Source organism: Homo sapiens, chromosome 1, assembly GCF_000001405.40.
Source record: "Homo sapiens chromosome 1, GRCh38.p14 Primary Assembly".
Classification (NCBI taxonomy): Eukaryota; Metazoa; Chordata; class Mammalia; order Primates; family Hominidae; genus Homo; species Homo sapiens.
In genome coordinates, this window is record NC_000001.11 from 210,696,086 (window position 1) to 210,710,414 (window position 14,329).

Here is a 14,329-nt window from a genome sequence, read left to right on the forward strand (position 1 = left end):
GCAGTCAGGGTGCAGCTCCACAGCTCTCCCCATTCTCCGGGACACAGGTCAAGCCAAGCTCTCTTCCCAGAAGTCTGGGGAGTAGCTACACGTGCCTCTTCCTCAGAGGTCCTGGCACAAGATATGCAACACCCCCTTCTCAGAGGGCTGCATGGAGCACCCACTCACCAAAGCTAGGGCCCCTCCTCCAGCCTCCTAGGTTTTGGTAATACTGCCCTTTTGCGCTCCCAGCACTGGTAGAGAATGCTGTTTATTTCCATTATTTCCATTATTAATCCCTGGGTGTCCTCAGCATCCCTTTTTGCTCTTTTAGCCTTTCAACTCCAACTCCATGATTTAAATCCTCTCTTAAAAAATTAGTATAGTTTCAGTTTCTGTTTTCCTGACTGGGTCCTGAGTGATTGTGTGCAGGAGGGCGCTCCGGTTCAAGCCTAGCAAGGGGGTAGATGCTCCCACTGAAACCTATAGTGGGAGCTGATACCTTTCTCTCAAAGAAACTAGTAGCATGAGAAGGAAAGACACTTGAACTCCCACCTGGTAACTCAGTCCTCATTTTATGGGGGGCACTGGCTAATGTCACCCTTGCCACTGTCAGTAATCAAGGCTTTGAATTTCTCTCGGTTTCCTTGGTTACCAGGACTTGGGGAGAGGGCATGTTTCTTCCTTGCTACTCAGTCTATTTTTCTCATTCAGAGGATCTGCTGTTCCTAAAGCTTTCAGAGAACAGCCTGCATAGAGGCCTGTGCAAGGAAGGGGGCAGAGTTTTATCCAAGTCTATCTTAGAAGTACTGTCTTTTGATGAATCATCACCTGCCCAACTGTGGTCTTGGGTGAAACTGTAATGCACAGCCATCTCCTGAGCAGGCTGATGCTAACCATTTTACATACCTTATCTTCCAACTCTCAACCACAAGCCTGTGAAGTCGAAACTATTATTAGTCCTCTTTCAAAGTTGAAGAATTTCAGATTTAGAGAGGTCCTTTGCTGATGGTTTACTCAGTCAGTCAGTGGGTGACCAGAACCCAAGTCTGCTGATATCCAAACTTTGCCACCAGGGCTGGGAACCCACAGGTTCCAGAGCTTAAAGGGCCCTGGGAAGGGAAAAAATTCATGCTTCTTTGCTTGGGAAGGTCATCAGAGCCCTGGAGAGAGCTGAGCACCTGAGGGCTAAGAGGGTCTTCCTGCTGGGCCCAAGAAACATGGGCAGGATACCTGCTTATACCAGGCTCTGAGCTTGTGCTAGGACATGAACTGAACTCCCCTGAGGATTATGCTAAACTGTGACTGCTGATAACCCAGACCCCGTGCTGCCTCCTGCAGGGGGACTGGGCTCCAGGCCTGGGGGTTGAGAGTTCAACTTTTCCCTCAGGAGTCTTCGTCTATCTTTCTCGCAGGCCTGCAAGATGCTCTTGCCAAATGGAGATGTGAGATGCATTGATTTCAATCCCAGATCATGCACTGAGGTCCTCCTCTTTTCAAGGCAGCAAGGCAAGTAATTTGTTTCTCAAACTGCACATTCACACAAAATCCTTAGTCTGACCCTGGCAGACTGTACACTCATGTTATTGCCACTCATTGCCATGGCGGGTGGGGGAGGTTGTATCCTTCTGGCCCATGGCCAGGGCTCAGGGACTAGTGGCTCCTCACTCCTGGAGCCCAGTCCCTATGTGGAGCATGGCCATGCAGTTTGCCAAGGGCAATATTTCCAAGGCCCCTCCTCTGCTTCCATCAGCCACACATGCCCGGCAATCCTTGTTCCTGGTATGGTAATCCACATCAATGCATCTGGGAAAGTGGCATTTTAATTTTCAGGAAGCAGATAATGCAAAATTAGGGGACTTGTGGTGCATATCAAGCAATTGTATCATTTCTACATATTTTTTCACATGCTATCATTGTAGGTATATGGATAGCCAGTTTGTGGATTGCTTTTCTCTCCTTCTGTCAATATACACAAATGGCAAAAGTTAGTCCTGAATCCAATATAGAACAGGAAGGCTGGTATGTTCACTCCAGGAGTAACCTTAAGTATTTCAGTTGACCTAAAGGTTGAAAGCAGTTAAGGATCTGGACAGTTTAGCTTTCCCATTCCACACCTATAAGCTACCCAGCCCACAGACTTGAAGCAGATATGCCCAATCTTGGCTTTCTTGGTTGGGGAGGAGGCAGAAGGAGCATAAACACTGCAGACTGGCCCCACCAAGATCTGTTCTGACCACCATGGGCTGGTACCTCCCACAGCTTACCCCGTGGGAAATCCCCAAGAGCCAAGGGGTCTGGAGAAAGCCAAAGTGGGTTCCTAGTCCAGGAGAACAGGGCATTTGAGATGGACAGAGGCCCTAAGAGAAGAATAGATACACCATAACCAGAAGAAGAGAAGGTAAAAGAGAAAGAAGGATCTCTAGCTAAAGGATTTCACTAGGAAGGTAACATGAAATAAGAAACAGCAAGAGAAAGGGCAGAGAAGAGGGCATAGAGCCATCAAAATGGCAAAGAAATGAGCCTTTATGTACCAGAATCACGGAGGGGAGGGAGCCCCACGTCACCTGATAATGATAGTGGCTGCCAGATGCTGGGCTCTCCTGTGTACTGGGTTCTGTTCTAAACACTTCACATACATTATTTCCATGACCTTGCACAACAACCCTATGGGTAGCCACTATTACAAATCCCATTATGGAGAGGAGGAAGCTGGGAACGAGACTGTACACAGTGAGTAAGAGGCTGAACCCAGGCTGGTCTGCCACCAGAGCCTGAGGGCTGCAGCGCCTGCCTGCCATCCAGCCTGCATCCTCCTGCAGAGGCCACGGGCAGCTGCCCCGTCCTCTTTGATACTAGGAGTAGAGAACGGACTTCCTACCTTTATTTGAAAATGAGACTCTCTTTCCTTTTCACCATTGTCATCTCCCAGCCTACTGTGCAACAGACCCAAGTAAAGTGTATTTCTCCAGCTGGGTCTCTACCTCACACTCTCTGTCCCCGTATTTTGGACCTTCTGCTCCCCAAGTGAGTCTCTCTTTGCTCCATTCTGGTACCCACTGTAAAGAGAACAATAGGCTCTGTGGAGTAGGCATGTGGGTTAAATGAGACATAATGTACATAAAGCACATGGCATCCCCAGTGCTCAATAAATACTGTGCCTGCCTCTCCCCACCCTGAATTGAAGGTTTTGCCTTCCTTTTACTGAGAATGTGGCCCTCATGTGTCACTGATTCAACAGGAGGGACAGTCCTATGCCTGGCCAAAAGAGCTGTATTTGGTCAAACCTGGGCACAGCATGGACACAGACCTGTTCAGAGAAAGACTGGCAGGGGAATACCTTTGTAGCATGAGTACAAGAATGGCCAAGAGAGCCCCACTCTGCCGAGGAGGAGCTTTGAGAAGCCGTCTTTGGAGCAGGAGTGGAATCTCTCAGGCCTAGGTAGGTGGATCCCCAGGCAGCAAGCGCAGCCACTTGGCATGAGCTAAGAACAGAGGGAACCAGAGAAGCTGGACAGAAGGTGGCTGAAGAGCTTCACTGCCCACCACTGGCAGGACCTACCTGTTCCTGTGTGCCTTCCTGTGCTCCACACCCCCAACCCTGCCCCATCTCCAATTTTCAATGACATTTCAAAAATGTTTCACCAGTGGAGCCCATTCTACACATGACTTTTTCCTGGAGTAAAGAATAATAAAAAGTTAACCTAACCAGATGAGTATAGCTGGCACTTGGGTTACTATTATTTATTTTATGAATGTGGACGCTGAGGCACCAAGGTGTTTGAGGCTACTAAGTGGTAGGGCCGGCTGGAATTTGAACCTAGGTATGAGCCCACAAACCCAAGGTTATTTTGCCTTCCTCCTGACCAGCTGCCAAGGACTCAGCCACTCATCAGTGGCAACTCCCAGGTATTAAATTAAATTGGCTGGTACAGCAAGAGCTGGAGCTGATGGTCTCAGATCCCCCTCCTATCTCAGGAAGAATCCTCTGTCCTGCTACTGCCCCTTGAAAATCAGGCAAGTGAGGAAGGGACAAACCACCATGCAAGTCAGGAAGTGATGAGCCACCCAAGATGGTGTTCAAAAGACATCTCTTTATATGTAATGGTTGCAACAATTATTATACTGCTCCAAGGCCACCAGGAATGACAAACACACTAAGAGGCTTATGGAAGCACTGAGCAGGGAATGAAACACTGCTATCTTTGGTATAGGGAGCAGATAATTACTGCCTACTGACACAACTCACAAGCTTCCACCACATTCCCTGCTGCAGGTATGGAGTGTCCGAGCCAGCTTCATGCTCTCATCTGGGCCCCTCTAGCCAGGAGTGTGAGGCCAAGGCTGGGGTATAGAGCACACCTGGGTCCAAGTACCTTCTGACTCCTTTAAAGTTGCTCTGCCTGGGTTTCAACAGCACCACAATCTGCTGCCTTTCTTTCCACCTTAACCCTGTATTCTCTTTGTCTTTTTCTTATTGATTTGTCATCTCTCTGTATGTATTTTAGGTCTTAATTTGTTGCTATTTACATCTGTGGAAAAAAATCTTTTCCTAATCCAGCAGTTGGCAAGCTGCTTCTGTAAAGGGCCAGATAGTAAATATTTTTGGCTTTGCAGGCTGCTCAATTCTGCCACGATAGCACAAAAACAGACAAAATGTAAACAAATGGTCATGGATGTGTTCCAATGGAACTTAAAAGTAGGTGGTAGGCCAGGGTTGGCTCAGGTTATAGTTTGCTAACCACTTTCTTGGTCCGTGGCTTGTCTTTTAATCATTTTTTATGGTCTTTTGTTGTCTCAAAGTTTTTCACTTTAATGATCAAATTTTTCTCTTTTCATTTATTGTTTGTACTTTTTAGTTTCTTTTTATTTATTTATTTATTTATTTTTTGAGATGGAGTTTCGCTCTGTCGCCCAGGCTGGAGTGCAGTGGCGCGATCTCGGCTCACTGCAAGCTCCACCTCCCGGGTTCACGCCACTCTCCTGCCTCAGCCTCCCAAGTAGCTGGGACTACAGGCGCCCGCCACCACGCCTGGCTAATTTTTTGTGTTTTTAGTAGAGACGGGGTTTCACTGTGTTGGCCAGGATGGTCTCGATCTCCTGACCTTGTGATCTGCCCGCCTCAGCCTCCCAAAGTGCTGGGATTACAGGCGTGAGCCACCACACCCGGCCCTTTTTATTTTTTTGGTAGGAGACAGGGGTCTCTTTATTTTGCCCAGGTTGGTCTTGAACTCCTAACCTTGAGCAATCCTCTCACTTCAGCCTCCCAAAGCACTGGGATTGCAGGTCTGAGCCACCATGCCTGGCTTGGTTTGTACTTTTTGTGTAGACTAATCACTATATAGGTGAGAATACTGAGGCCCAGAGAGGGAGAGTGGCTTACTAAGGTCGCAAAGAAGTTTCTCTGAAGCAGAGCTTTCTTCTAAGATTCTAAGATACCAACTTGGGATCAGACAGCCTTGGCCTTGAATTTTGGCTGTTATTTATTAGCAATGCTTGGACAAGCCTTCTTTTTGTTTTTTCTTTAATATAACCCCTTCTTTTCCCTGAAGTTAATCTTCCTTCCTTCCATCTTTTTTTTTATTTGCCTGGCTGCCCAATAAACCCATCATGAATTTATTTCACATATTTGAATACCTCTATCATGTGCCCCCAAAAATATTTTCCATGTTTCTAAAAACAGTAGTTCCATTTTTTTCCCCCAGAGACATCGTTTCTGGGGCCATCTGTCCCCTTGCCCAAATATCATCTGGCTGTTTTCCAGGCCTGGGATCTCCCTCCACTGCTGACCTATGGCTATTTATTTTCTTTTTCTTAGTTTTCTCCTCATTTTGCTGGAGCACATCCTCTAGTCGTTCTTCAGGAAAAAACATGCCCCAAAAGCCACTGGAATTCCTGCATTCTTAAAAAATATTTTTTATCTTCACACTTGAATAATAATTTGGGGCATGGAACTCTTGGCTGAAATTCATTTTTCTATCAGAATTTTCAATGTATTTGTTTATTAGCTTCTATAAGTCAGCACTGTCATTAAGATAGTCATTCTGATTACTAATCCTTTGAGTGTAACTTACTGTATCACTTTGGAAGATTTAAAGATTTTTTCTTAACCTCTTAAAGTTTCAGAATTTTACAACACTGTGCTTCAATGTGGGTCAAAGAGCTGGACCCTTGGTGGCCCTGCAATCTGAGGATTCTTGTTCTTCAGCTCTGAAAAGTGTTCTTATATTATTTTCTTTGATAGTTTTTCTCCCCTCCATTTTCTGTTTTTCTTTGAACTCCTATCAGTTGAAATGTAGAGTTGATGTTTTAATTTTATTACCTTCCTCCTCCCCTTTTTCCTTATTCTTTGTCTTTTTATCTTCTATAAGATTTCTTTGACTGCATTTTCCAGACTTTTATTATGTTTTAAATTTTCTGCTATCTTATTTTTTAAAACTCAAAAGCTCTTTGCTTCTTTTGAATTTTTAAATAGCATCCTGTTTTGTTTCATGGATATATGGACTTTATGTCTTTAATGTAAGCATTTTTCTTTTGATCCTTGCATTATCTCTACAGTCACTGGGTTGCATGAGGTAGAGCTGTGGAGCTGGAAATCTTACTATCCCATATAAGGACTTTAAGCCAACCCCCTGAATTTTAGGCTGCAGTTTACCTCCTTCTCACCCCATGGTGATTTGTGCTTCTAAGGACAGAGCTTTCTTGGGCTTTGCAAGAGAAAAGAAAAAAGGCTCCTTTTCCATTTTAGCCCCTTCTGCATCTGTGCTGCAGCTTCTTCCACTTTACTACATCAGTTACCTTTCCTCCGTCTGCCTTCCGTCTTTCAAAATTACTTATCTGCTACTTTCTCTTCTCCCAAGTTTTAACAAATTAGTCCTTCTAGGTTTCTATATTTTAAAAAATTGTTTTTATATCATTTCATTGGGTTTTCTGGAAAGTGAAGAAATAGATGTTTGTGGCTAATCTCCCACATTTAACACAATTTTATTATTTTAATTAATTTTTAAAATATATACCAGAAGCCCTTTCTAACTAACTAAGGATCCAGAAGTCATAAAATAAAAATAAATTTGGGTCCATAAAAATCCCTTCTGCATGGCACAACATGTGCAAGTTAAAAGACAAATGGCAAAATGGGAAAATACTTGTAATTTATGACAAAAACTGCTCCTAAAAATAATAAAAGACACCAATATTCCTATTTTTAGAATAGATAAGAGAGATCACAGAAAAGGAAATTTAAATGACTGGTAAGCATATGAAAAAATACCACTCTTGAAATGTATCAGATTGCTCAAAATCCAGAAGTCTCACCCCACACTTTGATAATAGGATGTGGGGAAACAAGCCTTCTCATACATCACTGGCAAGTTTAACCCTTTTGGATATCAGATTTCTCATCTATAAAATAGAGCTAGTAACAGTGCCTACCTGCTTTATACAGTAATTGCAAGGACTAAAAGAAATAATGCATTTAAAGTGCCTAACAAACACACAACTAGTACACATTTAATAAATGCTACTTATTAACATATATTTGCTTGTGTCATTATGTTTTTCTTCAATGATAATGCTACAAAAGACAAGATTAAATGCTGCCTTCCTAACTAACTCTCCCATAAGATCTCTGAGGACAGAGACTATATTTCTGTGTCCCTTCCAGGGCCCTGCATAGAGCAGGACACAAAGAAGTGTGTGGTCATGAAACACCTGATCTTTGAGGGACAGTATCCATTTGTATGTAAAATCTGTAATCTCGGGCTTGTGCTTAGTTTCTAATTAATTATACTGTGAATTGGCCCAGCCCCAGAGCAGGAGGGCATAGAAGGAACAGCTAGAATTCAGGCACCAGCAAGGGGAATGTCAGTATTCAAAGATGGTGCTCCATGATAAAGTGCAGCGTGCACCCCCATAGGCCAAGTGCTCTACGAGAGACAAGACACACCTCTCCAGGACTGTCACCAGTGCCCAGCTGTTAGTGTAAGAAAACAATGCCAGGGCAAGGAGAGGTGCCCTGGGCCAGAGCAGACATCACAATTCAATCTCCCTGGGTCAAGGGTGGGGAAAGCTTCTGGTGCCACCTGAGAACATGTGTCGAAGGCAGCAGCTCTTCCTGCCCCTACTGTGAAGTCTGAAGGAAGGGAGGGGGCTGAGGAGCAGTACAATGCTCTGCTGTCTCAATAGCAGGAGGGTCCTTGACTTCCTGGCCATTTCAGCGTTTAGGTTATCAACCTCATTTCTAATAACAATCGCCACGCCTAGAAGATTAGTAGGCCTATCACAGCCTTTCCTTCAATTCACTCCTATGTCAACTCCTTTGTTTCCTCTGATAACAAAGGCAGAGGAGTCCAAGGGTGATGCTAAAACCGGAAGGGACCTGGTCTAGTGCTCTGTCTTCAGGCCAGTGACTTTCTAAACTATCCCATGAAGACAGCCATTACTTCTGCCATTATTAGCAATACGAAAATTGACATTTGTTCCTACTTTGTGGTTGACAGAAAGCCAGCACACACATTATCTCATTTGGGATCACATATATGGGGCAAGTGTCCTTATTTTGTATAAATGAGATGACAGAGGCTGAGAGAGACAAGATCCATGGCTCTTCCAAACCCAAATGCTATTCTCCTTTTGAAGGTTTAGAGTTAAAAGTCCATATATACCTCAGTAGCCAAACCTGTATCTAATCATCTAACAGTAAATTTATAAACCTACACATAATTTGGTCTTTTATTTAAACCCAGTTCCACTGGCTCACTCTTTCACACACATGGAGAGCAACTGGTCAATACCATTCCTCCCTACACACACTTTGCAGAGCCAGGGACGGCAAATGATTCATCTAGAAACCTCATTGCTGGACTGCAAGCCCAAGCTCTCCTTCCCTTCTCTGGGGTTTGTGGGGTTGAAGGTTGGGAGGGTTGGGTGGAGGTAGGGGGTCCTTGGTCTGAATTTTCCAGGGCAGGAAATGGGGAGAGGAAGGTAGGGAGGTGGGGCGGCCCCTGCGCAGGAGACAAGAATTGATCTCACTTGCATTACCAACTTTGAAGAAAGAAAGACACATTTCATCCTCCCTCCCCTCTACCACTCCCTGCCAGGCTGAGGGTGGGGAAAAGAGCCGAGGGCACCCGCTGAGAAGTATCTGAAATAGGCAAGACCTGCCAGCTTCTCCAGAGGAGGCCAGTTTGCAGGCCTGCAGATTCTCATTCGTCCACTTGCTCAAGCCCCTGAGTTGCTGACAAAGCTGGCAGAGAAGAACTGCAGGCCTCACAAGTCTCTCCTCCCTGGGGGTTTAACATTCACCTAGTGTAACACATGGAGGTCAGACAGAGAAAACTAACTTCCAGAGAGGTGTAATTTTAGGCTAACCAAACAGCATCCATCCAAGCAACAGTGATAGAGTCTTGGGGCTGGCTGTCCCAGGAGCTGGGGAGCAGAATTCTGGTCCCATTGAAGCCAGAGGGTCGACCCTGGCCCAGAGGTAGAACCCATTTGGCTTTAGTTTCCATAGCCAAAAAAGAAAAGAGGCTAAAACCACTCTAAATCTGACACCATTGCTTTGAAGATATGATAAAAGGAAAGTGCCCAGATGATGGATCTCAGGGCTTTCAACTCTGAGGTCTCCTGATCTCTCCTTGGTCTTCCCTCCTCCTATGGGATCAGCATTTCCCCCATGCTCTGTAGCTCTAAGTCAGGGTCTCCTCTTGTGATCAGCCATCTCTCCTTCCTTACCTCCCCCACTGCCTAGTTATGCTGTGTGTCTCCCCAGTATCTGGGCACCTCGATCCTAATCCCACTCTGCTTCTACACCAGGCCAGCCCTAAACAGTGTTCCTCTGACTATAATCATAATCAGCAGCAGCACTGAATGCTAAGAGCCAGGTGATATTTGCATATTGTATTTTACTTTACCCTTGCAATGAGCCTAACGTAGGTGTTATCACTGGCCCCATTTGACAGATGAAGGGATTGAGACTTGGAGTGGTTAAGTGGAAGCAACAAGACTCGAACCCAGAGAGTTAGGTTCCAGATCCTGTCCTTTTGCCAATTAGTTCTAAACCTCGTCACTAGTTTAATTCATTCTGAAATTTCCCCTCTTCCACAAAGCCTTCTGTAGTAAACAGGAAGAGGAAGTTCCCCTTCCAGATTCACTCAGGCTTTGCCGCCATCAGCTCCATGAAATTTAGACACCAGCTCTTGCAGGGGTGGACCGTGCCTGGGTGGGGAGCATTCTACAGAGGGCTTGCTGTGCCCCTTCTGAGTCCCCAGTCATTGATATGTGCAGGGGATGCAAATAACCTTTAATATTTGCAGGAGCAAAATGCAGCGTGGAAAGTAAAATCTAACACAAAATAAGCAAAGCATTTGAAAGTCAAATAAAACTGACCTTTGCTTTAGCCACTATTTGGGATTATGTGAGCCATGGCTGGTGACTCAGAACCTGTTTGATGGATACCTAATGATTTAATTAGAACCACAAACTGTCAGGGCTGGAAAGGACTGCACAAATCACTTTGTTTAACTCCTCTGTGTTACCGATGAGGAAACTGAGGCCCAGAGAAGGGTAATGATATCTTTGAGGCCTCTTGGCCAGGAAATACTGGGAGCCAATTCTTCTGAGTCTCAGACCATGCATTACTAAGTAAATAGAAGGCAATAAAAACACTTACTAGCAATTCGTGCTAAGAATAGTGGCTAATTCTCATCACATCACCCCAGGTGGATGCTGTTATTTTCATTTTGCAGATGAGAAAACTAAGGCTCAAGGATATATCAGCAAGTAAGTGAAAGAACTCCAGTGTTGGGAAGGGCCCTGATGGGCATTTCCTGCTTTCTCTCTATCATCTCACATTTGCCAGACATGTACTGAACCCAAGTTCTATCAGGCATCACACCGAAGGCTGGGTGCAGAAGAGAAGAGAAAGCATAGTCCCTACTGTGTGGGAATTCACAGTCCAGGAAGTAAGCAGATATTTGTATGTGAGGGGTATGTGTGTGTGTGTGCGCGCGCACGTGTATGTGTGTAGGGATTGGCATAAGAATGCACTGAGGTCAGGTTTTCATATATATTGTTCCTTGACCAATATCTGAGAGGAGTCTGGTAGGCGTGAGCAAGTGCATCCATGTCCAGGATGGGTGGGAGCAGGTGCCAGGTAATTGGTGGATGCACGGGACCCCCTACCCTGGGAATGCACCCTACCCAACCCCAGCTCTGCAATGAGGTCCCTGTCCCCATCTCCCCCAGCACTGAGAAGCACCAGGCCTTTCCCTGTCAAGCACACAGACAGTCTGCCTGTAATAAGGCAGGCGGGCATTTACCCTGGCTTGACCCAGAGTCTCCTCCCAGATAGAGCTATTTACATCAAGAACTGTTCAAGGACAGGGACAGCACAAGCAATTACTGGTAGTAAAAACCCAAGCCATGCTCTGCTGTGCTCCCCCCACGCTGTTTTTTATATGGTCAATAAAGTGGCTGCCTGATTCGTGCTCTTGGCAGGCAGAGCTTAGGTGTAAGTAAGTGTTCAGCCAGGAAGCCGGCTGGCCACACAGAGGGAAAACGAAACATCTTCACCACGTTGCTGGTTTAATGCTCCAGCCCAGTGGCAGGCTGTGGGCTCCAGATGTGGCCTGTCTGCAGGAGCATTTTCTAAAAAGTCCCTCAGCACTAACAAAGATGAAACTCCTACAGCCAGGCCATTCCCTCCTCTTAGGAACCTATAAAAGGGCCATCAATGTGTCTTGTTCTGGGGACAGAACACATAAAAGGAGGCCTCCCTGCCCTTCCTCCCTCCCAATTCATCTGAGATTGAATCTATTCAGGCAGACATAATTTTCACAGAACGGCAAATGAGGTCTTCTTTTTTGTCTACCACTCACTCTTAAGTGTGCTTTAGCTATGATACTGGTGTATTCAGGCACATGGCAAGGCTGGACACAATAATGCAAACACAGGTATAATAGCATGTCATGCAGATACTAAACACAGCTCATCACATGGAGCATCTTGTGTGTTTGCAACAGCCCTTCACTGTCTCATTCTCCAAGCAAAGAAGGAATCCACTGTCTTATTCTCCAGGCAAAGAAGGGGTGTCCCCCATTCACCCTTTCTGGAGCCCATTTATGCTGCTTTTACTCTGGATGGCTCTTCCCTTCCCCCACTCCCATTGTTGGTTCAGACTTTCTCTATTGCAAAGGACTGAGGAATTCCACTTCTTCCATTGAAGTGGAATCAATCTTCAATGATTCCACTTCCTTGATTCCATCAAGCCTTCCTTGATCCTCCCAGCCAGAAGTGTACAACCGTTTTCTGAACATAGCATGATCTCTATTCCCCTCTAATAATTAAGAACAGGCTTCTGCTTGAAATTCATCTTTGATGTAAATATACTTTTTAATGAAACAGTAAACATTAGATCTTATATTTACATAGAGTCCGTAAACAGATTTTATAGTCATAGTCTCCATAAATTGACCCTATATAAACTTGCTGATCACTCGAATTATATTCAGTTCCTTTACTCTTGCAGGGTTACTGGACTGACCCACCAAAGGGTAAGGATTACCTTAATCATTCTTATATCCACTCAGCCATTCAGGCACAAGTACTGAGCCTGCAGTCGGAAATAACTAGTAATTTTAACTGGATTGGGTTAGTTTCTGGGAGGATTTCCTGCTAGGACAGTAAGTGTCCAACGGGTCTTGTTGTAACATTCAGATTCCCAATTCCAAAATGGAAAGTCTCTGTTGGGTTACTTTAACAGACCCTAACTCCTCCAACCAGCACAATTCCATTTCCCTGGGAAGGGCATAGGGCAGGGAGGACAAGGGTGGAGGAGGCATTTGGATTTGAGGCTCAAGACCAGGGAATCCTTAATCCGAAATGACAGCTGTCCTTATAAAAAGGGAAAACTTTGGGCTGGGTGTGGTGGCTCATCCCAGCACTCTGGGAGGCTGAGGTGGGTGGATCATTTGAGGCCAGTAGCTCGAGACCAGCCTGACCAACATGGTGAAACCCCACCTCTACTAAAAATACAAAAATCAGCCAGGCAAGGTGGCACGCCTGTGGTCCCAGCTACTCAGGAGGCTGAAGCAAAATAATTATTTAAACCCAGGAGGCAGAGGTTGTAGTGAGCTGAGATTGTACCACTGCACTCCAGCCTGGGCAACAGTGCCAGACCCTGTCTCAAAGGTGGGGGAGATTTTGACATGGAGACACAGATATGCATACACGGATGTGTTGATGAAGGCAGAGATTGGGGTGATGCGGCAGAAGCCAAGGAGCACTGGATTGCCAGCAAACCAGCAGGAGGTGGGAGAGAGGCATGGAACAGATTCTTCCTCACAAGCTTCAGAGGGAACCAACCCTACAGACACCTTGGTCTTGGACTTCTAGCCTCCAGAACTGTGAGACAATACATTTCTGTTATTTAAGCTGCTCAATTGGTGGTACTTTTTTACAGCCACCCTAGCAAACTAACACAGACTTAAGACAGACAATGGTGACATCATGAAGCTAAGTTAAGAGTCAGACCCATAATTCTATTAGTTTAAAAACCATATGTAGATACAGGGAAGTAGAAATGGGTGGGTGGATTGACAGATAGACGGAAAGAAAGAGAGATATACAAAGAGAGAAAAAGAAAGAGAAAGAAAGAAAGAAGAGAGAGAGAGAGAGAGAAAGAGAGAGAGAGAGAGAGAGAGAAATGATAGCTCTGACTGCTGTGTAGGCACTGTGCCTGGGTCTTCCCAAGCCCAGGAGCTCTCCCATACAGTGCTGGGGAGATACTATTCGTCTGTACCGTTGAGTCTTGGGAAAAACATCCCACAAGCAGACAATGTGATGTACATTGCACAATCACTATGCTAATTAGTCCTTGTGAGCAACCTGTGATATAGATACAGTCATGTGTTGCTTAACAACAGGAATACATTCTGATAAATGTGTCACAAGGCAATTTTGTCATTGTGTGAACATCTTAGAGTATACTTAAACCAAGATGGGATGGCCCACTATACTTCTAGGTTATATGGTATATCCTGTTGCTCCTAGGCTACAAACCTGTACAGCATGTTACTGTATTGAATACTATAGATAATTGTGTTTGTCTATCTAAACATATTTAAACATAGAAAAGGTAGAGTAAAAACACAATATAAAAGATAAAAAAAATACCACACCTGTATAGGGCACTTAGCAAGAATGGAACTTGCAGGACTGGAAGTTGCTCTGGGTAAGTCAGTGGTAAGTGAATGTGAAGGCCTAGGACATTCCTGTACACTACTATAGACTATAAACAGTATATGTAGATACATACAGGGAAGTAGAAATGGGTGGGTGGATTGATAGACGG

General features: G+C 45.0%; 1 protein-coding gene and 1 long non-coding RNA gene across 6 annotated transcripts in view, besides 1 other annotated feature; one reads left to right on the plus strand and one right to left on the minus strand.

The window, feature by feature from the left end:
• Window positions 1-14,329, minus strand: part of KCNH1 (potassium voltage-gated channel subfamily H member 1) — a 455,835-nt gene that overhangs the window by 17,772 nt on the left and 423,734 nt on the right. The window lies entirely within an intron of this gene.
• Window positions 626-715: an enhancer, noted in NCBI's record as "active region_2481". NCBI's record gives its function as "activates an Ori minimal core promoter by ATAC-STARR-seq in GM12878 lymphoblastoid cells {active_cell/tissue: GM12878}" and the evidence as "EXISTENCE:reporter gene assay evidence [ECO:0000049][PMID:35858748]".
• LOC105372901 (uncharacterized) overlaps window positions 13,099-14,329 on the plus strand; it is a 44,716-nt gene continuing 43,485 nt past the window's right edge. Inside the window, exon 1 of the long non-coding RNA XR_922550.3 lies at window positions 13,099-13,382. This is a non-coding gene — a long non-coding RNA (uncharacterized LOC105372901). The remainder of the gene's footprint in view (window positions 13,383-14,329) is intronic.